At 36.6% G+C, this 26,818-nt stretch overlaps 1 protein-coding gene and 1 pseudogene across 13 annotated transcripts in view; one reads left to right on the top strand and one right to left on the bottom strand.

Annotated features, from left to right (window-relative positions):
• The window catches only part of PNPLA8 (patatin like domain 8, phospholipase A2), a 57,762-nt gene that overhangs the window by 23,920 nt on the left and 7,024 nt on the right, over window positions 1–26,818 (bottom strand). For 8 of the 13 annotated variants that reach the window (XR_007060039.1, XR_007060036.1, XR_007060038.1 and 5 more), the window contains 5 exons: window positions 20,100–21,111; window positions 19,808–19,957; window positions 8,155–8,306; window positions 3,147–3,241; window positions 2,248–2,419 (listed from right to left, as the gene is read on the bottom strand). Coding sequence is in view for 9 of the 13 variants with exons in the window: in XM_011516275.4 (XP_011514577.1) it covers window positions 2,248–2,419; window positions 3,147–3,241; window positions 8,155–8,306; window positions 19,808–19,957; window positions 20,100–21,111 (1,581 nt within the window). In the remaining 4 variants the exon portion in view is untranslated. Of the gene's footprint in view, window positions 1–2,247; window positions 2,420–3,146; window positions 3,242–8,154; window positions 8,307–19,807; window positions 19,958–20,099; window positions 21,239–23,853; window positions 23,966–26,818 lie in introns of all 13 variants that reach the window. The other 5 variants (NM_001256009.3, NM_001256008.3, NM_001256007.3 and 2 more) reach the window with 2 other exon arrangements.
• Window positions 15,877–16,706, top strand: RPL7P32 (ribosomal protein L7 pseudogene 32; annotated as a pseudogene).

Below are 26,818 nucleotides of genomic sequence, written 5' to 3' on the forward strand. Positions count from 1 at the left end.
AAGCGGCTCCTCAGCTCACACTCCCACTCTCCCTCCTGTCTAATGGTCCCCAGCATCAATTGTTCCCATCCTTATGTTCATGTATATTCAATGTTTAGCTCTCACTTATAAGTAAGAAGATGTGGTATTTGGTTTTATGTTCTTGTGTTAGGTTGCTTATTCTAATGGCCTCCAGCTCCAACCACGTTGCTGCAAAGGACATGATTTTTTTTTATAACTGCATAGTATTCCACAATGCATATGTGCCACATTTTCTTTATCCAATCCACTGTTGATGGGCACCTACCTAGGTTGATTCCATGTATCTGCCATTGTGAACAGTGCTATAATGAACACATAAGTGCATGTGTCTTTTTGACAGAATGAATTATTTTCCTTTGGGTATATGCCCAGTAGTAGGATTGTAGAAAAGACTTAAAAACATAAAAGTTAAAAATCATTAAAGGAAAAGATTTGGCTAAATGAAGATGTTTCAATCCTCTACATTAAAAAATTATTAGCACTTTTTCAATATATGGTTAATATATTTACAATACATTGAGGAATATCCCATAAGAAAATAGGCAAAAATTATGCCCTCAAAATTCACACACAAAAAATAAAAAGCCATCAAAAACCAAAACCTTTTTTTAAGTTTAAACTCATCAATAATGAAAGTGATACAAATTGAAACATGAGCTTCAAAATCTCTCAAACTGATGTCATTTTAAAAATTAAGTGTTTGGTGTTCACAAATATTTCATGAAATAGAAATACAAATTGATGTTGGCAGATGAATAAGCTAAAACCACTGTATTGAAGAACAAATTCAGCCATGTATGTATCAAGATTCTTAAAACATGCATATCCTCTGGCCCACAATTTTACTTCTAGAAATTTACTTTACTTAAAGATATAGCCAGAGATTTAAGTAAAGATGTTTATCTAAATTTTATTTTGAACTGCAAGAGTATCTGAAGTATCCTTTTCTAAGAGAGGATTTGTTAAATAAAAAACAGTATATCCATAAAATGGTGAAGAACCATTAATATATGTTTCAAAAAATATTAACTGACATAGGAAATAATCTGTGCATTATCTGAATTTTGTAAAGAGAATGGATACACACACACTCACAACTACACACATATACACTTGTCTATCTGTAAGAAATTACACAAAAAACACATCACCATGTTAATAGTGCTTTTGTTCTTAGTGGGATTATAAATTATTTTTATTGTTTTCTCGATATATTTTCTATTTCCTATATAATAATTATTTTAAGAAGACATCAACATTGGACCCAATAAATATGCTTCTTATATAGTGACCTACTAATATATTCTGAAATGTGAGAAGAAATTTAAAGTTTTCTATGACAGCATTGTTCATAATCCCAAAAAATTAGGAACATAAATGTCGTAAATGTCCATAAAAATCCTAAATGGAAATGATTAAGAAAGTGTAACATCCCACTCTGGAGTACAGTGTAGTCTTTAAAAATATGTCAGGAGATTTTAAGAACGTTTGAAAAAAGGAGAAGGATACGAATTTACAACTACAATCTAATATCAGCTATACAAAATGTATAAGGTCTAATAAACTAGAAGGAGATATATTAAAGTCTACAGCTCTGAATAACAGGATTGTGGATGATTTTATGCTTATATTTTATGATTATATATACTTTGGGAGGCAGGCCAATCACTTGAGGTTAGGAGCCTGAGCAACATGGTGAAATCTTCTCTCTACTAAAAACAGAAAAAATTAGCTGGGCATGGTGGTGCACACGTGTGGTCCCAGCTACTTGGGAGGCTGACGTGGGAGGATCACTTGAGCCTGGGAAGTTGAGGCTGCAGTGAGCCAAGATAGCACCACTGTACTCTACCCTGGGCAACGGGAGTGAGAGCGTGTGTCGAAAAACAAATAAAAATAAAAATAATTGAATATTTTAGAATGACTTGAGACACATTTAATATGTTAAGTAAAAACAACAGGATGCAAGTATCTCATATTTTTAAAAAAGGCAATTGCAACTTTTACATGCAAATCTCACACACACAAACCCCCCAAAACAATTACTAAACTATGATTCACCAAAATACTAACAGTGGTTATCTCTAATTAGTCAAATAATTTAATATTCTTGATATTTTTCAAATTATAATATGCAAGAATATAATTTAATATTGACATTTTTCAAATTATAATATGCACATACTACCTATATAATCAGAAGATTTAAAAAGAGTAATTGTAACTTACTTAAGAATGTTTTCCCATGTTTGACTGTCATAAAATGCATGGCTCCAACTCATTTTTACTGTTCCAACAATGACATTTTGTGAAAATACATCTGATCCTAATTTTCGATAAAGTTCCTCACATTCATCCAAGGGCATATGAAACAACCCCAACATGAAAGCTAATATGGCACCTGGAAAAAAGAATCCTTAGCTTTTATCAGTGTTAAGTTATAGCCCTTATGATGTAAGATTTCCTGAATCATAGTTTTGGCTTAAATTTTAGCGTTGATACTTTCTAGCTATGTCACCTGGGACAAATGACTTTCCTTCTCAGAGCCCCATTTGTTTCAGGGGTAAAATGGGAGTAATAAGAACAACCAAAATTCATGTGTCTTACTGGGTTAACAAATGTAAAGGGATTTACCAGGTCTCAAAAAGGATTAAATAAATGCTACCCCCAATAATGATAATAATAATAATTTAAAAATATTTACAAATGTGTTGTTTTACATTAAATTATATATAAGATACTATGGTAGATAATTCACGTTCTTTCTAACATCAATGAATTACTTAGTTTTAGTCACAGAATATGGTATATTTGACAACTCACCAAATCACTAAGCAATTCTCCTTCAAGTTAGTCCTAGGAACCAATGTAATTAAACATATTAGGTACTCTTGGATGTCCTTTTAAACAGCTGATTCCATATCTAGCTATAATAGGTAGGACACACTGCCACCTAGTGTGCCTAACTGGCATAACCATGAACAAAAGACAAAAAAGGAAGTACAAAATTTTGGGGTATGGAGAGAGGGCTGAAGAAGGCAAAGGACTATGATCTTAAACATAAGTGCTTAATGTTCTTTTCCTTAATGTACTGCCAGAATGCACCACTTCCATATAATAATAATTACCTGTGCTTACACCACAAATGTAATCAAAGAGCTGATGAACTGGCTTCTGAGTAAGTTCAACTAATTTTCGTAGGGTCTGGAGAGCAACCACGCCCCTACAGAAAAGATTAAAGACAAAATGACAATTCCTGTTTAAAGAAAAAATAATTTAAGCTGTTGAATAAAACAATCTAATAATTGCTTTTAGAGTTTATATGCTAACATGAAAATTAATAATATAAATCAAAATCAGTAAAAATTGCCTGTCCAAATTTTTAGTATTACTTTTGAAAATCTAATATCTAAATGATAAAAAAACCTACACTAAGGCAGCACATTTTAAAATTTATATTAGTATCTCTCTCTTGTTTTTTCACTGAACCCATCCTTCTGCAGAACAGTATCTCTTTAAGAATAAATCTGGCCAGGCAGTGGCTCATTCTTGTAATCCCAGCGCTTTGGGAGGTTGAGGTAAGAGGATCACTTGAGGCCAGGAGTTCAAGACCAGCTGAACAATATAGCGAGATCCCATTTCTACAGAAAAAAAAAAAAAAAGTAAAAAGAAGAAGAAATCCACTCAAATACACTTCTTAAGAATGCCAAAAACCAACAAACAACTAAATAAGAATACAAAGATATGCCAATATAAAATTGAAAAAAAAAACAAAAAACAAAAAAAAAAACAAAAAAAACTGGAAAACACTTAAAAACTCACTCACTGGTTTTGGAATGCCATACCTTGGTTTCCTCTCTTACTAACATAGTTGGTCACCTATGACTCTATACATTTTTGTCTTACATATTTCACCAGATTTTTTTTTTTGAGATGGAGTCTCACTCTGTTGCCCAGGCTGGAGTGCAGTGGCTCACTGGGCTCACTGCAACCTCCGCCTCCTGGGTTCATGCCATTCTCCTGCCTCAGCCTCCCGAGTAGCTGGGACTACAGGAGCCTGCCACCATGCCTGGCTAATTTTTTTTTTTTTTTGTATTTTTAGTAGAGACAGGGTTTCACCATGTTAGCCAGGATGGTCTCGATCTCCTGACCTCATGATCCACCCGCCTCAGCCTCCCAAAGTGCTAAGATTACAGGTGTGAGCCACTGCACCCGGCCACCAGTCAGATTTTTAAGCTCCCTTTTCTTTATTCATTTTTAAAAACTCTCAATAACTTCAGGTTAACCCTCTATATTAATGGTATATTAATTAATGTTGCTGACTTTGCTCATTTCTGAATCCTTGCCAACAGCAGTTAATAGCTTCATGAAGGAATGCGAAACGATGAAAAAGCTTAGGAGATATAGACCAATTGAGGGTGTATGTACCATGTAAACTGTCATGTGTGTATCATGACAATTTTTAACAGTGGGAGAATAAAAAAACGATGAAAAGCTCTATTCCCAACACAAGGTAGGGGGTAGGTAAGTCCTGGAACACAAAGGTAGTTAGGCATCAAAAAATTTTGAGTGTCAAATTGTGCTTGATAATGTTAACAAGAAGTAACTAGAAAATTATGTAAGATTAAAGTAGAAAACCAAAGATGCTGATTTTTTAAATACAACAAATAATGTGCATTTGAGGAGAGTTAAGATATCTTATGAAAGAGGTACATTATTAATTCAAGACAAGACATGATGAATTAAATGTAATGCTGGATAAAATATATTTAACAATGTGACCTCTATTATCACAAAAAGGAAATAAAATAGGCACGTATATGTTCACACAGAAAAAGATTAGAAGAAAATAAATCAAAATACTAAAATAATCTTAAGAGTTGTGAGCTATGGTTTTGGGGTTTTTTTCTCTCTCAGGTTTTTCTAACTACTCGTATAATTGGGAAACTTAACTATTTAAAAATGTTGTACTCATAAATTCCGAATGAATTTAAATACGTATATATCTGCCAAGTTGCCACAGCTGTCTGTGTCTACCACTGTAGGTTCTCTTATAACAAAGAAGTCAAAGACAGGGTTTTTTATTTTTTCTCTCAATCCCTCATACATTACTGCTTTCCGCACAAACCTCCCATCTGGGCTGCTTTCCCATATTCCCCTAAACCAAGTTTTCTCAACAGCAGAACCGCTGACATTCTGGGTTGGATAATCTTTGTTTTGCGGGGCTGTCCTGTGCACTGTATGATGTTTAGTCACAACTGTCCTCTTCAAACTAGATGCAAGTGGCAGTGCTCTAGTTGTGACAACTAAAAATGTCTCCAGACACTGCCAAATGTCCTTTAGGGAGCAAAATCACCTCCAGTGGAGAATTACTAACCTAAACCTAACTTCATCCTAACCCACCCCTAGATTTTCCCAAATTACCTCACACTGATTTCCTCCCTATATGACTAATACAACTCTTATTCTACAAGATAAACTATTTATTGGATACAAACTTCTTTTTCATCATGCTTGTCTGACCTTAGACATGTGAATGTTCTTCAATTTTCTTCCTTCCTTCCTATCTCTACATAAATATAACTTCTTTAAAAAGAAGTCTTGGTCCTGAGCATTCTTTAAAATAGTACTCTTCCTCTCTATCCCTTTACTTTGCTTTATTTTTCTTCATAGCACCCAGAATAACATATTTTTGTTTTTCTATTTGTTGTCTTTTCCTTCTCTACAATGCAAACACTGTATTGTTTTGTTTGCTCACTGTCCCCAGGATCTAAATCAGTGCTTACAACATAGTAGGCCCCCAATATTTGTTAGCTGACTCAATGAATGACACTACCTGTCCCAACTCCCCTGAACATTATGGCAGAGAGGATTCCTTCTGCTCCTTAGTGAAATGCCCCTACTCATTTAACTGCCATTTTCCCTATTTTTCACCATTTGGAACCAATTCTATGAACTAGAATAATCTCTCCAGTTATCACTTTATCTGTATCACATGAATGACATACACTTTCTTAAGATTATTTCACTTTCCTGAGAAATAGCCTCTAAGATCTTTAAAGATTTTTCTCTCTTCAGTGGGCTTTTGCCAACCGAGCACTTCTGTATGGATATAATCTTATATTAAATATGTTCAAGAAAGAACTGTCTTTCCTCAACACCAATCTGTTGAGATTCCCTGCAGTTTTGTCCCAGTCACACACAGGTTTACTGTTAGAGTGATCTTGACCTATGTCTACCATATCCTGTCTCCGAGTTTCTTAAAAGTTACTGATATTGGCATGGTGGCTCACACCTGTAATCCCAGCACTTTGGGAGGCCAAGGCGGGTGGATCACCTGAGGTCAGGAGCTTGAGACCAGCCTTGCCAACATGGTGAAACCCCGTCTCTACTAAAAATACAAAAGTAGCTGGGTGTGGTAGTGCATGCCTATAATCCCAGCTACTTGGGGAGGCTACAGCAGGAGAACTGATCAGTTGAACCTGGGAGGTGGAGGTTGCAGTGAGCCGAGATCACGTCACTGCACTCCAGCCCGGACAACCAGAGCAAAACTCCGTCTCAAAAAAAAAAAAGTTACTGGTACATTTTTCCTTCCTCCTGCCTTCCACTGCCACCATCTGAGGTTAGCTTCCTTCTCTCAGTACTTATTCCTTCCTTCATATTGATGTCAAAGTATAAAGGACTCGGGTGAATACAGAACCAAGGAATTTAACAAAAAGATACAGGGTAGTACTTGAACATACAGAAGAGTGGTTGGCAAGTTGGTTATACCAAAAAGCAAAATCAGAGAGGTAAGCTAAACCTAAGAACAATAGGCAGGGCATGTACTATGAATTACAAGGTAACAGTAGAGATGGCAGGGAACTAGAGAACAAGCTAGAAGATTTTGGGGAAAAGGTTTGAAAAACCAAGCCAAAAAATCTAACCAACAAGTTGGAAGGAACTAGATAAACAAAGACTGAGTAGGAAGCATGGATGGATTGCCAGTAGTAAAAATAGAGCTTAATAGTGAAATTATCTCCTTCTGAACAAAGAAAGAATTTATTTCTTATATGGCACCAGAACTGGCATCTCCAAGTGAAGACATCAGAAGTCAGGAAGTTAATATAGCCTCATTTTGTAACCATCACTTTATCAAGTAACTAGTTGATATATATGGGTAAGATAAGTGTAATAAAAGAAAGCTGGCTGGGCGCGGTGGCTCACGCCTGTAATCACAGCACTTTGGGAGGCCAAGGCAGGTGGTTTACCTGAGGTCAGGAGTTCAAGACCAGCCTAGACAACATGGTGAAATCCCGTCTCTACTTACAACACAAAAAATTAGCCAGGCATGGTGGTGGACACCTATAATCCCAGCTGCTTCGGAGACTGAGACAGGAGAATCGCTTGAACTTGGGAGGCAGAGGTTGCAGTGATCTGAGATCGCACCACTGCACTCCAGCCTGGGCGACAGAGCAAGACTCTGTCTCCAAAAAAATAAAATAATAAATGAAAGCTAAAATTATAAAACACTGTCAAGGTTTTATGAGAATAATGGTTGATAAGCTTCTGAACTACCAAAAAGGTCTAAAAAGGCCAAATATAAAAATATAAATACTAAAATCAAATCAAATCAAATACAAAAATATAAATACCAAATCAAACCAAAGAACTGAAGTATATGTCAGAGTAGCACTTAGATTAATAAAGTATTAATTAAAACAATTTCATGTTTTATTTTAAAAATTTGATTTTATTTATATCAAATCTTTTTTTTTTTAATTCCTAAAGCTGAATTGAATCTGTAGTTTTTAAGAATCATGTTCCAGCTGGGCGCAGTGGCTCGCGCCTGTAATCCTAGCACTTTGGGAGGCCAAGGCAGGCAGATCACCTGGCGTCAGGAGTTTGAGACCAACCTGGCCAATATGGTGAAACCCTGTCTCCACTAAAACTACAAAAATTAGCCGGGTATGGTGGCGGGAGCCTGTAAATCCAGCTACTTGAGAGGGTGAGGCAGGAGAATCGCTTGAACCTGGGAGGCAGAGGTTGCAGTGAGCTGAGATTGTGCCACTGCACTCCAGCCTGGGCAACAGAGGGAAACTCCATCTCAAAAAAAAAAAAAAAAAAAAAAAAAAAGAATCATGTTCCTAGCCTTACCTTGTTCCTCCACCATCAATTGAGAGAATTCGGATTCCTCTCCCTTTCACTGGATCCACATAGCCAATTAGGGCCAAAATTTCTCTAACTGCAGCCTGAAGAGTTTCATCCTTAATTTGTCTCAGTCGTAATAAATATGGAATAATTCTTTCCTATATTGAGAGAAAAGATACTTTGTTGCTTTTGTCAAATCAAGACTGAAAATGTATGATTATTATTAACCAATACATGCAGTTCACCACATGACAACCAAGGTGACAGTGTTCATTACTTTCTCAGTAATCTTATAAGACAGATTAGTTTTTGATATATTAATGTCAATTTTCTAGATTACATTTGTTCTAATATTGAGGACAAAAATTAACCAATATTCAAAAGTTTTCATTAAAAGATGTAATACTTAACTAGAGAAAATATAATTTATAGAAATTTACAAATTATTATAACAAAAGGTTAACATTATAAATTTTGTATAATATTTAGTCCAAATCCTGAGATTAAGAGGCTAAAACTGATTCACAGTAACTACTAGAAGTTAAACTGTTATTAAAAAGAAATAATGAACCATCTTGTATACATTGCATATGGGATTCAAGGTTGCCTCATAAAAGAATACAAACAAATGTTAACAAAGGTAACTGAGGTGAGAAGGTAAAAGCAGGCCACTACAATTAAATAATCAGTTTAAATAAACCTGAGACTTCAAGATTCTAAGCACTCAACATCATATTGTTGATCACAGACAAGAGCTTAAATCCTAGAGTTCTATGTTGCTTACCAAAGATTCTCTAGCTTCTGTACACAGAAGCATCTTACATAGTCAGTACCGCAGGTTTAATGGAATGGCTGAGTGGCAGCTATAATTCTGCTGTGCAACCTTCTGTAAATCAAACAATTTTCCTAGGTATCACTCATTTTGTTTCTTTTTTATGATCAATCAACCTGAAATACTCTAAATTCTTTCTCAATATTTTTTCCCCTAATATTGAGCTGTGAGGCCCCACTAGAGGAACTTGAGCAATGGTGGAGAATAATGCAAATTTCCATTTCCGGTTAAGATGAAATACTCTGTTACAGATCAACGCTCACATCAACAACAAGAAAATCTTGATGAAATACAAGAAAAGTACCATCTGTTTAAAGGCATCAGACAGAGAGCTGCTGAAGCAACAAGAACAGATGGAGCCAAGAATCTGGAGAAGGAGTAATTGCTAGGAAGTGAGCTGGTAAACTATAGCTTTTCTTCCCTTGAGGCATTTGCTGATTCCAGGAAAAAGTAAAGGACCAAAAAAGTGAGTCTGACTCAGACAGAGGGCCCCAAATAAAGGACAGAGAAACCAGCTGATCGTTTAGCATCTAAGGGGTTTGGAGTGAAAAAAATGGAAGACCTGAAGGGCTTCAAACACATGGTTGGCTTTACCTCAAGACATTTGCTGAATTCTAAAATCATGAGGTGTGGAAGGCAAAAGGTAAGCCGAAGACCTCTGAAAATCAGAGTGGAAGGCTTTGTATTCTTGAGATTTTAGGACCCAATGAGATGGTGGTTAAGTGAACACACCCTGGAAGAATATGCCCAAAAATCAGGGCAAACTAGAGGTCTTACCCAAACTGTAATACAGCCTTGATCCAGATTTGACCCTAACTGAATTAAGGCTATCAGGGCTCCACTCAAATGCCAAACAGAAGAACAAATAAACCCCAGAAAAAGATATAATTTGATATAATCTAGAGCTTATGCAATTTTTTAAACTTACAATGTCCAGCATCCAGAAAAACTATAACGTATGTGAATCCAGTACCGAATTACAAAAACCAAGAATTGATGTTCATATTAGAATTACCACAAAAACATGTTGAAATAAAAATAACAAAATAAAATTATCAAAATATATCAGATACCTATGAATTAGTTAAATAAAATCATTCCAATGGAAGATGTAAAAGACACCCAACACTGAAAATTTTTAAAACACAGGAGGAAAATAAAGATGACCCGAATAATTGAAAAAATATGCCATATGTCATGGCTTGGAAACTCAACAAAGACCCAATTCACCCTAAATTGTTCCACATATTCACTGCAATCCCACCATGTTTTTCTCTTTTAAAAATTTTTTTGTAGATAAGGTGATTCTAAAATTCATATAGAAATATAACATGTCAAGAATAGCCATGCCAACAACATTGAGAAGAACAAGGTTGGAGGATTTATACTACCTAGGTTTATACAGCTGCAAAAATTGAGCCAGTGCACTATCAGCACAACCACACACAAATATACCAGTGGAACAAAATACTGTGTCTGGCTGGGCATGGTGACTCACGCCTGTAATCCCAGCACTTTGGGAAGCCGAGGTGGGTGGATCACCTGAGGTTGGGAGTTCGAGACCAGCCTGACCAACATGGGGAAACCCCATCTCTACTAAAAATACAAAACTAGCTGGGCATGGTGGTGCATGCCTGTAATCCCAGCTACTAGGGAGGCTGAGGCAGGAGAATCATTTTAACCTGGGAGGCAGAGGTTGTGGTGAGCCAAGATTGCACATTGCACTCCAGCCTGGGCAACAAGAGCGAAACTCCATCTCAAAAAATACATAAATGAAAAATACTGTGTCTAGAAACAGATCCATATATACATCTCATTTATGATAAAGGTCTTTTCAATAAATGGTGCTGAGTCAACTGGATAAGTGTATTTTTTAAAAGTCAGGACTTCTGACACACACCACACAACCAAATCTATTCTAGATGAATACTAGATAGAAGAGTAAAAGGCAAAGCAAGGTTTCAGAAGAAAACACAAGAAAATTTATATATATATATATATATATATATATATATATATATATATATATATATATATTTTTTTTTTTTTTTTTTTTTTTTTTTTTGAGACGGAGTCTCACTCTGTTGCCAGGCTGGAGTGCAGCGGCGTGATCTCAGCTCACCGCAACCTCCGCCTCCCAGGTTCAAGCCATTCTCCTGCCTCAGCCTCCCAAGTAGCTGGAACTACAGGCGCACGCCACCAAGCCCAGCTAATTTTTGTATTTTTAGTAGAGACGAGGTTTCACCACGTTGGCCAGGATGGTCTTGATCGCTTGATCTCGTGATCTGCCCACCTCAGCCTCCCGAAGTGCTAGGATTAGAGGCCTGAGCCACGGCGCCTGGCCAAAAATACTTTTATGACTTTAGGATAGGCAAAGATTTCTTAAACAGGACACAAAATACTAACTATAAAGAAAAGTATTTATAAATTGGACAAAATTAAGAATATCTGTTCATCAAAAAACACAAGAGTGAGAAGGTCAGCCACGGAATAGGAGAACGATTTGTAAGACATACACATACATACCGCACATATGACAAGTGAGTTACAACCGTAATATATTTTTAAAATTCTACAAATAATGAAGAAAAAGTTGGTGAACCCAATGGAAAAATAGGCAAGATCTGGAATAGGTACTTCACAAGGAAGTATAAACATGGCCAATAAACCCTGGAAAAGATGCTGAATATCATAGCTATCAATGAAATAAAAAATTAAAACCATAATTTAGTATCACTTAACACCCAACAAAACTGCTCAAATTAAAAAGATTTAAAAAGGTTGGGCACAGTGGCTCACGGCTGTAATCCCAATACTTTGGGAGGCCGAAGTGGGCAGATTACTTGAGGTCAGGAGTTGGAGACCAGCCTGACCAACAGGGTGAAACCCCGTCTCTACTAAAAAACCAAAAATTAGCAGGGTGTGGTGGTGCGCACCTGTAATCCCAGCTACTCGGGAGGCTGAGGCAGGAGAACTGCTTGAACCCAGGAGGCGGAGGTTGCAGCAAGCCGAGATCGCACCACTGCACTCCAGCCTGGACAACAGAGCGACACTCAGTCTCAAAAAAAAAATTACAAAATAAAGTGTTGGAGAGAAAGTAGAACACAGAGGCCTCATAGAATTCTGGTGAAAGAATAAATTGGCACAAGCACTATGCAAAACCATTTGGCAGTATCTACTAACGTTACAAATATGCTCACTCTGTGAGCAGCAATAGTACTCTTAGGTATATACTCCAAAGAAACGAAGACCTATGTTTTCCAAAAGATATAACCCAGAAGTACTACTACTAAATATTCCCAAACTGCAAACCATCCAAATGTCTAGCAATAGAGGGAAAAATGAAAAGTATACCCAACAATATAGAAGGTTCTCACAAACATAATATTGAGTGAAAAAAAAAACCAGACATATAAGAACACATGCTGTATAATTCATAGAACATGCAAAAAGAGGCACAACTAAATTATGCTGCTAGAATTCTGAAAAACTGATCAACCTTTTTGGGAACAGTATTTGGAGTGTTCATAAGATTGTTTCTCATTCAGGGTGGTGGTTATATAGATGTATTTCATGTGTGAAAAATCATGGAACTGTAAACTTACGATTTGTGTTGTTCTCTATATATAATATTTTTATAAAAAGTTTTTTAATAAACCCAAAGGATGTATGAATCCTTGTGACAAATTCAGCATTTTAAAAAAGAGAAGGGGAGAAAATAGATCATAGAAACAGGCTCGGTGAGGCTGGGAGCGGTGGCTCACGCCTGTAATCCCAGCACTTTGGGCGGCCGAGGCAGGTGGATTACCTGAGGTCAGGAGATCGAGACCATCCTGGCCAACATGGTGAAACCCCATCGCTACTAAAGATACAAAAATTAGCTGGGCGTGGTGGCGGGCGCCTGTAGTCCCAGCTACTCGGGAGGCTGAGGCAGGAGAATCCCTTGAACCCCGGAGGTGGAGGTTGCAGTGAGCTGAGATCACACCACTGCACTCCAGCCTGGTGACAGAGTAAGACTCTGTCTCAAAAAAAAAAAAAAAAAAAAAAAAAGAAACAGGCTGGGTGAGGTGGCTTACACCTATAATCTCAGTACTTTGGGAGGCAAGGCAGGCAGATTGCTTGAGCCCAAGAATTCGGGATCAACCTGAGCAACATGGTGAGACCCTCTTTCCACAAAAAATACAAAAATTAGTTGGGTGTGGTTGTGCATGCCTGTGGTCCCAGGTACTCAGGAGGCTGAGCTGGGCTGAACCTGGGAGGCAGAAGTTGCAGTGAGTGAAGACTATGGCACTGCATTCCAGCCTGGGTGACAGAGACTCTGTCTCCCAAAAAAAGAAAAAGAAACACATTTAACTTAGAAAAACAAGGAGTCCATAATATTTTTTTTAAAGGTGCAAAAAAATTCATTTAATCACTGAGGCAGCTATTAAAGCAACACCTTACTTTGAAAACCGGTAACTAAAATACTGGCAAACCGAATCCAGCAGCACATCAAAAAACTTATCCACCATGATCAAGTGGGCTTCATCCCTGGGATGCAAGGCTGGTTCAATATACGCAAATCAATAAATGTAATCCAGCATATAAACAGAGCCAAAGACAAAAACCACATGATTATCTCAATAGATGCAGAAAAAGCCTTTGACAAAATTCAACAACCCTTCATGCTAAAAACTCTCAATAAATTAGGTATTGATGGGACGTATTTCAAAATAATAAGAGCTATCTATGACAAACCCACAGCCAATATCATACTGAATGGGCAAAAACTGGAAGCATTCCCTTTGAAAACTGGCACAAGACAGGGATGCCCTCTCTCACCACTCCTATTCAACATAGTGTTGGAAGTTCTGGCCAGGGCAATTAGGCAGGAGAAGGAAATAAAGGGTATTCAATTAGGAAAAGAGGAAGTCAAATTGTCCCTGTTTGCAGACGACATGATTGTATATCTAGAAAACCCCATTGTCTCAGCCCAAAATCTCCTTAAGCTGATAAGCAACTTCAGCAAAGTCTCAGGATACAAAATCAATGTACAAAAATCACAAGCATTCTTATACACCAACAACAGACAAACAGAGAGCCAAATCATGAGTGAACTCCCATTCACAATTGCTTCAAAGAGAATAAAATACCTAGGAATCCAACTTACAAGGGATGTGAAGGACCTCTTCAAGGAGAACTACAAACCACTGCTCAAGGAAATAAAAGAGGATACAAACAAATGGAAGAACATTCCATGCTCATGGGTAGGAAGAATCAATATCGTGAAAATGGCCATACTGCCCAAGGTAATTTACAGATTCAATGCCATCCCCATCAAGCTACCAATGACTTTCTTCACAGAATTGGAAAAAACTACTTTAAAGTTCATATGGAACCAAAAAAGAGCCCACATTGCCAAGTCAATCCTAAGCCAAAAGAACAAAGCTGGAGGAAGCACACTACCTGGCTTCAAACTATACTACAAGGCTACAGTAACCAAAACAGCATGGTACTGGTACCAAAACAGAGATATAGATCAATGGAACAGAACAGAGCCCTCAGAAATAACGCCGCATACCTACAACTATCTGATCTTTGACAAACCTGAGAAAAACAAGCAATGGGGAAAGGATTCCCTATTTAATAAATGGTGCTGGGAAAACTGGCTAGCCATATGTAGGAAGCTGAAACTGGATCCCTTCCTTACACCTTATACAAAAATCAATTCAAGATGGATTAAAGATTTAAACGTTAGACCTAAAACCATAAAAACCCTAGAAGAAAACCTAGGCATTACAATTCAGGACATAGGCATGGTCAAGGACTTCATGTCCAAAACACCAAAAGCAATGGCAACAAAAAACAAAATTGACAAATGGGATCTAATTAAACTAAAGAGCTTCTGCACAGCAAAAGAAACTACCATCAGAGTGAACAGGCAACCTACAAAATGGGAGAAAATTTTCGCAACCTACTCATCTGACAAAGGGCTAATATCCAGAATCTACAATGAACTCAAACAAATTTACAAGAAAAAAACAAACAACCCCATCAAAAAGTGGGCAAAGGACATGAACAGACACTTCTCAAAAGAAGACATTTATGCAGCCAAAAAATACATGAAAAAATGCTCATCATCACTGGCCATCAGAGAAATGCAAATCAAAACCACAATGAGATACCATCTCACACCAGTTAGAATGGCGATCATTAAAAAGTCAGGAAACAACAGGTGCTGGAGAGGATGTGGAGAAATAGGAACACTTTTACACTGTTGGTGGGACTGTAAACTAGTTCAACCATTGTGGAAGTCAGTGTGGCGATTCCTCAGGGATCTAGAACTAGAAATACCATTTGACCCAGCCATTCCATTACTGGGTATATACCCATATGACTATAAATCATGCTGCTATAAAGACACATGCACACGTATGTTTATTGCGGCATTATTCACAATAGCAAAGACTTGGAACCAACCCAAATGTCCAACAATGATAGACTGGATTAAGAAAATGTGGCACATATCCACCATGGAATACTATGCAGCCATAAAAAATGATGAGTTCATGTCCTTTGTAGGGACATGGATGAAATTGGAAATCATCATTCTCAGTAAACTATCGCAAGAACAAAAAACCAAACACCGCATATTCTCACTCATAGATGGGAATTGAACAATGAGAACACACGGACACAGGAAGGGGAATATCACACTCTGGGGACTGTGGTGGGGTGGGGGGAGGGGGGAGGGATAGCATTGGGAGATATACCTAATGCTAGATGATGAGTTAGTGGGTGCAGCGCACCAGCATGGCACATGTATACATATGTAACTAACCTGCACAATGTGCACATGTACCCTAAAACTTAAAGTATAATAAAAAAAAAAAAAAAGAAAGAAAACCGGTAACTAGCTCTTTTTCCGGCTGGAACCATGGTGGGTGTAGAAGAGAAGAAGAAGGTTCCTGCTGTGCCAGAAACCCTTAAGAAAAAGCGAAGGAATTTCTCAGAGCTGAAGATGAAGCGCCTGAGAAAGAAGTTTGCCCAAAAGATGCTTCGAAAGGCAAGGAGGAAGCTTATCTATGAAAAAGCAAAGCACTATCACAGGGAATATAGGCAGATGTACAGAACTGAAATTCGAATGGCGAGGATGGCAAGAAAAGCTGGCAACTACTTTGTACCTGCAGAACCCAAACTGGCATTTGTCATCAGAATCAGAGGTATCAGTGGCGTGAGCCCAAAGGTCCGAAAGGTGTTGCAGCTTCTTCGCCTTCGTCAAATCTACAATGGAACCTTTGTGAAGCTCAACAAGGCTTCGACTAACATGCTGAGGATTGTAGAGCCATATATTGCATGGGGGTACCCCAATCTGAAGTCAGTAAATGAACTAATCTACAAGAGTGGTTATGGCAAAATCAATAAGAAGCGAATTGCTTTGACAGATAACGCTTTGATTGCTCGATCTCTTGGTAAATATGGCATCATCTGCATGGAGGATCTGATTCATGAGATCTATACTGTTGGAAAACGCTTCAAAGAGGCAAATAACTTCCTGTGGCCCTTCAAATTGTCTTCTCCACGAGGTGGAATGAAGAAAAAGACCACCCATTTTGTAGAAGGTGGAGATGCTGGCAACAGGGAGGACCAGATCAACAGGCTTATTAGAAGAATGAACTAAGGTGTCTACCATGACTATTTCTCTAAGCTGGTTGGTTAATAAACAGTACCTGCTCTCAAATTGGAAAAAAAAAAAAAAAAAAAGAAAACTGGTAACTAAATACAAATAAATTAAGCATTTCTCTTTCCTTTCCTGTAAAATTTGTAAAATTTGCCTTTGAGAATACCCAAATAGCTTCAGTTGATGAAGGAAGGCTCTTCTTTACAGAAGAATGTCAATTATAATGTAGGAGTAACAGAATTAGACATTGGTCATTCTGCAACTCTAATGAAATTATTAGTTCTGGAAATGATTAGGTTAATGGTTGATGAGATAATGCTTCTAGCACAATTGTCCAATGAGAAGCAGATTGTCATCACTTTAACACGGTGGTCATCCTTAGCATTACTAATGGTTGTTCAACTAATTGTCATGTGTGTCTTGATATGATGCATTATGAGGCACATGACATTACCTACAATGTGCTCTAACAACAAAATGTTTAACTCAATCAAGCCATTATATTTAAATTCCAGTGTTCAGGAAATGAAAAGGAAAGAGGAACACTTCAAATAACACTGAGAAGGAAGAAGGCAGGTACATCCAGAAAGCGAGTCTTTCTGCCTGTTAACCAGCCTAATGTCTTCAATTAAATCAGTTTTAAAGGTGCAGGTGAAGAAGGTGTGGCTGAAGGACTGCGTTATATTTTAAGTGACTTGGAGAAATAGTCAGATGCAATGTGTGATCTAGACTGAACCCTCATTTGGATCTAATCAGTTACATAAATAACATTTTCAAACTGGGTACAGGATAAAGGGACATTTACTGATATAGAAAGGTATACATTATATGCTAAAAAACCAGATTATAAAACAACATATACAGAATGAGTTTATTTTGGTATATATGTGCATAGAATGATTTCTGAAGGAATACTGTGCAGACATTACTAATGTTCACCAATACACTGTTTGCTTCCCCTTCCAAGCATACAGAAGGTTGTACTTTTCAGGCCCATGCAATCGGACAGGATAAACAGATTGTGAGTAGAAGAAACCCGTGGCAACTTCTGCTGAAATATTATTTCCTTGCCACAGAAATCAGAGAGGAAGACTCAATTAAAATACAGACAACAGGACAGGATCTAAGTAACCACCACACGGAGGTTCACTGTGCCAAAGAGTCACCCAAACCCACAGTTAACTTTGCATGAGCCAGAAATAAAACTGTTTTGTTAAGTCACTGAGATTTCGGTGTTGTTTGCTATTAGAGCTTAAGGAAGCTTAATCCAATGAACACAAATAAACTCTAATACATTACAGTGGTAATCTGAGGGTAAAATATATTATTTTTATTTTCTTATCTTTTCTTTCTTCTAATTCCCTACAATGCTTTGTGCTGCCTTCTTTCTAAACAGTCAAAGTTCTTCTTTTTAATTAAAAAACATAATGAAAGGAGACCACCTTCATCACAGTGAAAAAATTATCACAGACAATTCCCTAAATGTGGCTGCCATAAATGTAGCATACAAAATAAGTAACTCATTTTTTTTTAGGGCATTACGTATCAGACATAATTCCCTGTATTTAGCTACCTTAAATATGGTAGACACATAAAAAAGTAAAATTGATACAGATGTTTTATAAAAATTCTATCATTTTTAAAAAGCTCAACTCTTGATAATAACAAAAAGTTTAGCTGGAAAAGTTCACACTAGAGTGTACATGCTGACACGTTATATGCAATTTGTCCAGTTCACTGTTTTTCAGATGATTATTTAAGGGAAGGGTGACAACTTTTTTCAGACTACCTAGATTTTTATTCATAATTGATCTGAATATATATTCCTATATTACATTTTTTCATAGTATTGAAAGGTCCTTAGATTTGGGATTAGTTATGCAAGATAAAAGAGTCCTCAGAGTTTCAATTAGCAAGACTATTTAAACTGCAACTGAAAACTACTCAGAAATCCATCAGTAGTACAACTGGCCTTGTAAAAGAGGTTGAAGTGAGCCACCTTGCCCCTTCTGCCATCTAAGTAGGTCATGAGAAGCTGCTGTCTAGGAGGAACGGGACTCTCACCAGACATCAAATTGTTGGTGCCTTGATTTTGGACTGCCCAGCCTCCAGAACTATGAGAAATAAATTTCTGTTGTTTATAAATTACCCAAGCTAAGGTATTTTATTATGACAGCCCAAATGGACTAAGCCAGTATGTAATTCTATTTAAGATCTTTGCTTTCAGTATATCACTGAAATGTGAAATATACTTAAAAGCATATGTATATTTGAGAATCTTATCTTTTATGTAAGATTATATAAATATAAAATATAATCCCAAATTATAGGACCATAAAATAGTGAAGCTACCTATAATAATGTATGTGTTATACAATACACAAGTAAGGATGGGTACATTATTCAAAGACAATTTTTCAACAAGGTAATTGTTAAAAAGTAGAATAAATGTGTTCTAAGTTAAAACAATTTTCTGAATGCCAAGCTAAAAATAAGCACTAATAGATTTCTAATGAAATGTAAGCAGTATCTATCATTATGATATTTTCAAATTTTTCATTAAATATTACAAATAATCTTAATAATATAGATGTAAAGAGACTCAATCACATTAGTCATATTTTATAGCACTTCTCTGAAAACAGTCCATTTAAGTGGGTCTAAATTATCTTCATTATTTTATAGTTGAAAAAACTGAGGCAAAGAAAAGCTCATTGTTTTACTTAATATGATTACTAATTCAATTATGAGTAAGGTCATTCAAATTTTTAGACTTTCAAATACGAAAGGACCATGAAATAAAAACAACAGCCTCACATATGAATTATGTCTCCTATCTTAAAAGAACAGTTACATAGTATAAATATTTACATTGCACTAAAGAAAAATCTGGCAGCTGTTAGGCAATTCAACTAATAAACTGATTATTTTCTATTTTATAAATGTTTAATTTCAAAGTATACATATTGGTGCTAACAAAATAAAATGAATTGATTAGCATAATGTATGTCACAAAATAAATAGGGTAATTACTGAATACACATCACATGTATAATAAAAACCACAAAATTCAAATGGAAAAATGAAAGGCTTTGCCTTCTCCATTTTAGATTTTTTTTAGTACTTCTATTCCAAGACAAAACTAGATTAAATAAATTAGAAATTACCTTGACAGCCACTCCTTTTCCTTCAGGAAATTCTAGAAGATGAAAAGTCAGTTCTTCAACCCTAGTAATGCAGAGCTTTGGGTCAGTTGTTCTTCTTAATGCCTGAACTAATGCCCGGGTCCTGTTATCAATACTCACCCTTGCGATAATCTACAAAGACATATTAAATAGATATGATTAGAATACAAAACTGCTCTAAAGAACAATGAAAGTTTCTTAGTTCTCATTAGGAAATAAAACTTATAAATTTGACAAAAAGTAATAGAACCGAAAAGCACACTGAACAACTTGCCTTTTCTCGCTGAAGAGATAAACGCTTTTTCTCCTCTGCATTTCTGTCTTTGCTGACAGCCTGATCAGTTTTAGCAGGCTCTTCCTGTTCTTCTGACTGACTCTTTGAATCATACTTTAATTTGGGGACAAGTCCACCAATATAACCACCTACTAAAGCTTGTACACCTTCCGTGGGACGAGAAAGAAAGTTAGCAATACTTTGTTTAGTTGAAACTTGAAGAACATCAGGTATCGCAGAAGGACTTGTAGGCTTGTCCACCGTATGTACAGATTCTGAGCCTGGCTTATAAGCCAGGATGCCAGGATCTGGAGATCTTAATTTCCCCTCTTCTACCTTTTTATCTTCAAGTTCTGATTTGTCCCGGAAATGTTCATTTTCCTTTTGTTGAGACATTTTTTCCTTACGTTTGAAATATGAATTAATATGATTTGATAAAAAGTAGAATGAGTCTCCAAATTTTGTGGTTATAGAACTTGTGTAATGAAAAAGACTGCGTTTACCTATATCTTCTTCTTTGTCTATAATGTGACTTTTCTCTTCTGGAAAAGGACTCTTTTCTGCTGATTTGTCACTATATTTTTTCAGAGATTTGATGGCTTGTTTGATGTTTTTCTGTTTTAACCAGCCACTATCCGATACTTTTCTTAAAATTTGGGAACTTGGCTTAAATTGAGCTAAACGTGAAATCATTTCATTTTGATTGCCAAAAACAGCCTTTGAAACAGAGTTCAAAGTACTTTTAATACGGGACATACAAATGTTCACTTTTGTAAGTCCCTTGGGAGCAGAAGTGCTAAGTTTCAAAATCCCAATATGTAAACCATGGTTGCTTGGAGAGTAACAGTGCTTACTGCAAGAATGTGCTTCACTTTTGGTCCATTTACATCTTATTATGTTTGTATGAAAACCTCTTTGTAGACTGATGTGGCTTATCCTCCAGTAATGCTTAGGTGAGAACAAGAAATACAGTTGCTTGCTTCTCTGCTTCCCACAAACACTTCTTGCATTACTAAGGAGGTAAATATATATATCTACAGTCAGATTAATAGACATAACTTAAAAATCATTTATTTTCTATGACATTCTCTCACTTCTTGAACGCTTCATTTAAGAAATGCCATAATTCATGGTCTTACCTGAAATGGCAAGAAAAAAAATTAGAATTCAAGTTAAAAATTGAAATTGGGTATAACAGAAAACACAAGACTATTTGGACTAAACTCAGCAAGCTGTCTCAAAAAAAGCAGACAAAATATTCCTATTATAGCTGATAGAAAATTCATTTTTAAGCTAATAGAAAATAATTCACTTTCAGTATAGAGGTAAATAAAAAAAGAAAATGAGGAATAGAATGTTTAGGGAGAAGAACTAATTTAGGGAAGTTTCCCAATAGATAAGTCTTCCGTTGCACAACACATAATTTAATATGCAATTTAGATACTATGCTTTTTTTTCCCTTCCTCATTGTTAAATTCTGGACTACTTTATGTGACACTAGACTTTAATTCCTTGAAGAAAAAGGTCAGGTCTTATACATTATTCATTGCAAACGATTTATAGAATACTTAATCTATACCAGACATGGTGCTAGATGCTGAAGCCACACAGTTACAGGATATGAAAGAATTTCCAGACTAGAGCTGCTGATAGCCATGTGAAAAAGATTTCACTACCTAAGTAATAAGTGCTCATTAAATCAAGTAAGTCAGGCTAGAAGAAACTACAGCATATAACATAGAAGGGGTTCTTAACCACTATGTAAAAAGAACACATACAAATAAGAAAAGAATAATCCAATTTAAAAATGTGGTATTGGTAAAAGAAAAGACAAATAGATCAATGGAACAGAATAGAGAGTCCAGAAACAGACCCAATTAAATACAGTTAATTGATCTTTGACAAAAGAGCAAAGGTAATACAATGGGGCAAAAATAGTCTTAACAAATGACAACTGACATCTGCATGCAAATTAATCTAGACACAGACTTTATACCTATCAAAAAAATTAACTCAAAACAGATTACAGATCTAAATGTAAAATGCAAATGTATAAAACTAGAATATAACATAGGAGAAAACTTAGATGACCTTAGGAATGGCAATGACTTTGAGACAATATCAAATGCACAATACACAAAAGAAAAAATTGGTAAGGTAGACTTCATTAATATTAAAAACTTCTGGCCAGGCGTGGTGGCTCACGCCTGTAATCCCAGCACTTTAGGAGGCTGAGGCAGGCAGATCACGAGGTCAGGAGTTCAAGACCAGCCTGGTCGGCATGGTGAAACCCCATCTCTACCAAAAATACAAAAAATTAGCTAGGCATGGTGGTGCACGTCGGTAATCTCAGCTACTCGGGTGGCTGAGGCAGAAGAATCACTTGAATCCAGGAGGCAGAGGTTACAGCGAGCCAAGATCGTGCCACTGCACTCCAGCCTGGGTGATAGAGCCAGGCTTTGTCTCAAAAACAAAACAAACAAAAAAAAAACCAACCTTCTGCTCTGTGAAGGTCAATGTCAAGAGAATAAGACAACGAGGCAGAGATTGGGAAAAAATATTTTCAACAGACATATCTGATAAAGAGCTGTCATCCGTAATATCCAAAGAACTCTTAAAGCTCGACAATAAGAAAACAAACTCAATTACAAATGTGCCAAAGGCCGTAACAGACACCTCATCAAAGGAGATATATAGATAACAAATAAACATATAAGAAGTTGTACCACATCATATGTCATCAGGAAAATGCAAACTAAAATAACCATGATACTACTACATATCTATTAGAATGGCCAGAATACAGAACATTGAGAACACTAAATGCTGGTGAGGATGTAAAGTAAAAGGAACTCTCACTCATTGCTGAAGAAAGACAAAATGGTACAGCCACTTTGAAAGATAGTTCGGTAGCTTCTTACAAAATTAAACATACTCTTAACATGACCCAGCAATGGTACTCCTCGATATTTACCCAAAGGAGCTGAAGACTAAGTCCATAATAAAATCTGCACGAGGATGTTTACAGAAGCCTTATTCATAATTGCCAAAATTTCAAAACAACAAGATGTATTTTAGTAAGTGAATGGATAAACTGTGGTACATCAATATACGGTATGTGTATGTGCCACAGACAGACAATGGAAAATTGTTCAGTGCTACAAAGACATGAGCTATCAAGCCATAAAAAGACCGTGAGAAACCTGAAATGCATATTACTAAGTGAAAACAGCCAATCTGAAAAGGCTACATACTGTGTCTTAGTCTGTTCAGGCTCCTACAACAAAATCCCATAAACTGGGGAGCTTACATATATATGTAATATGGGGTGTCTGTGTGTGTGTGTTTTATAGAGACAGGGTCTCACTCTGTCACCCAGGCTGGAGTGCAGTGGCATGATCATAGCTCACTCACTACCACCTCGAACTCCTGGGCTCGTGCAATCCACCTGCCTCAGCCTCCCAAGTAGCTGGGACTACAGGTACACATGCCTGGCTTAGGTAGCTTATAAACAGTAGAAATTTATTTCACACAAAATTTCTCACAGTTCTGGAGACTGGGAAGTCCAAGATCAGTATTAACAGATTTGGTATCTGCTGAAGGCCCACTTACTGGTTCACAGATGGCTGTCTTCTTACCGTGTCCTCACATGGTAGAAGGTACTAACTAGCTCTATGGGTTGTCTTTTAGAAGGGCACTAATCTCATTCCTAAGGGCTACACCCTCCTGACCTAATCACCTCCCAAAGACCTACCTCTTAATACCATCACTTTAGCGGTTATGATTTCCACATGAATTTTGAGAGGCACAAACATTCGGACCATAGCAGTATGATTCCAGCTGTATAACACTCTAGAAAGGCAAAACTATGAAGACAGTAAAAAGATCAGCTGTTGCCAAAAGCAGTGTGTAGAAGGAATAAATAGGTAGGGGACAGAGGACAGTATTTTTACTGCCCTAAAAATCCTCTGTATAGTATCATAATGATGGATAAATATAATTATACATTTGTTCAGACCCACAGAATGTACACTACCAGGAATGAACCCAAATGTACACTATGAACTTGGGGGACTGCGTGTGAATGCAGGCTCATCAATTATAATAACTGTACCACTCTGGTGGGTGATGCCGATAATGGAGGTGGCTATGCGTGTGTCAGGGTAGGGGGTATATGGAAACGTCTGTACCTTCCTCTCAATTTTCCTGTGAACCTAAAAACTATTCTTAAAAAAGTCTTTAAAAAAAAGCAATCTGCAGTTCTATATAAGCTATATGCACATGAATATATATATATATATATATATATATATATATATATATACACACACACACACACATATATTAAGAAATTAAAAAATGAAAATCTACATATGCAGTTGAAATCTTATGGACACACATATACATACACATATTGATTCTGAAAGGATAAGCACCTGTTTGTTTATTCTTATGAACTAAGGCATGGGACCAAAAGGGAATGAGAACGGTTTTTACTTTTTACTTTTCTAGTGTCTGAATTATTTATAATGAGGTTTTATTTTGTAATTAGAAAAAGCAAAATATTTAAAGGACTGTAACAGAAGGTACCATGTGAATGAAAGACAAAGTGAGATAAAATCGAGGGAAGTTTAAAAAAAAAAAAAAGAGGTTAAAAACTGGCCAAATTTAAAAGAGAATTCATCACGTGTAAAGATGAGAAGGAAAGGAGAGAATTCTAAATAACGGTAAACAAAACAAACACAGCCAAGAGTTTGAGACCAGCCCAGATAAATGGTGAAACCTTGTCTCTTAAAAAAAAATAAATAAAACAAATTAGCTGGGCATGGTGGCACATGCCTGTAGTCCTAGCTACTCAGGAGGCTGAGGTGGGAGGATTACTTGAGCCTAGGAATCTGAGGCTGCAGTGAGCCACAGAGACCCCATCTCTAAAACAAACAACAAAACTACACACACAGAGGCAAACAGAAGAAAGCATGTAAGAAAGCACAGATAGTATGTGCAGAGATTACATGTAGTCTAGTTTTACTGCAGGACCTAGAGAGATTGAGAGAGAGGTAGATGATGCCAAGAAAGATGGAACTGAGAACCTATTCCAATTGTCCAGAAGATAACAGCCTGAAGTAAAATCCTTCCTTCTAAATTGCATGTGCCATTTAGAATTATCTAAAGGAAGAGAGAGAAAAAAAGCAAAGCCTGCCTTGTCTTCCAGGCTGAAGGAGCCCAGGGAATTCTACCACAAAATATGGCTCCCTGGTATAAGTATTTTGAATTAAAGCCCCATCAGAGATCAACAGATGCTAGAAGAGACTTTTTCCCTATCTACAAAAAGACCAGACAGATTCCCCAAGGGGAACAATTGTTTTCCCTTCTCCTCCTCAGGGAGAAGGGAAAACAATTTTATTATTTGCTGCAGAAAAGAAGACTGAAGAATGTAACCACACCCAAAGGACACTTTCACAAGATAAAGTCTGTCTCTTAGGCTCATTCAGTTTTCAAAGAGAATACAAGTTCGTCTCTGTCCTTCCAACTCTCCGTCCATTCCTTCTCCCTAGTAATCAGTTATTGCCGCTCGAGAGAATTACCTCCATTCACCATCTTTCCTTCCCCTCTGAAAATAGCTATATAAGTATGTGGGCCCCACTGGGATATTTAAGTAATCATTGTGATTCTCACCTGTGCACATTAATAAATTTGTATGCCATTTCTCTTACTAATCTGTTTCTGTCAGCTGATTTTCAGCAAACCGGCAGAGGTGGAAGGGGAAATTTTCCCTCGATCCCTACAAGGCTCTTCTGAACTCCTTGGGACTTACAGTCAATAAGATAAGCCAAGTTAACATAAAAGCTCTGCAGCCCCAATGACACAAAAACACTTAATATAAAATACTTGTGGATAAAAAGCCATGCTCTGTTTTCACTTATATGTAGGAGCTAAAAAAAATTGGATCTCATGGAGATAGAGAGTAGAACGATAGATACCAGAGGCTAGGAACAGTGTGTGAGGGAGAGTTGGGGGCTGGAAAGGAGGGGATAAGAGAGGTTGGTTAATGGGTACGAACATACAGTTAGAAGTAATGAGTTATAGTATTTGAATAGTACAGTAGGGGGACTATAGTTAACAATGACATATTGTGTTATTTCAAAATAGCTAGAAGATTTGAAATATTCCCAAGAAAAAATAAATGTTCAAGGTGATGCATATTCTAAATACCGATTTGATCATTACACATTGTATGCATGTATCAAAATATCACATCTACCCTATAAATATATACAAATATTATATATCATTTAAAAAAAAATTCATGCTCAACTTGAAGAATACTGAGACTGTAAAATGAAACCAGAAAAATAACTGTGTGAGGTAATGCATATGTTAGATTTAGTTAGTCCACAATGAAAATAATACTTAAAAACATCATGTTGCACACCATAAATACATACACCTTTATCTGGCAATTTAAAAAATAAAAAATAATTTTATAAAATAATAAAGCCATGCTCAAAGTCAACAGTAAAAAATCTCCAGGTTTAAGAGGACCCACAGGCCTGGAACAGCAGTCATACTATCCTCAAGGTGCAGATACCCTATGGGCAATGGGATCCTACACCAAGCAACCACTATGGAAAATGAACTCACTGAAGTTACAAAACATGCAAAGAAATGCACCATCACCTGCAGAGAGGATCAGCAAATATAGCCAGAAAAAAAAATGT

This window comes from Homo sapiens, chromosome 7 (assembly GCF_000001405.40).
Source record: "Homo sapiens chromosome 7, GRCh38.p14 Primary Assembly".
NCBI lineage: Eukaryota > Metazoa > Chordata > Mammalia > Primates > Hominidae > Homo > Homo sapiens.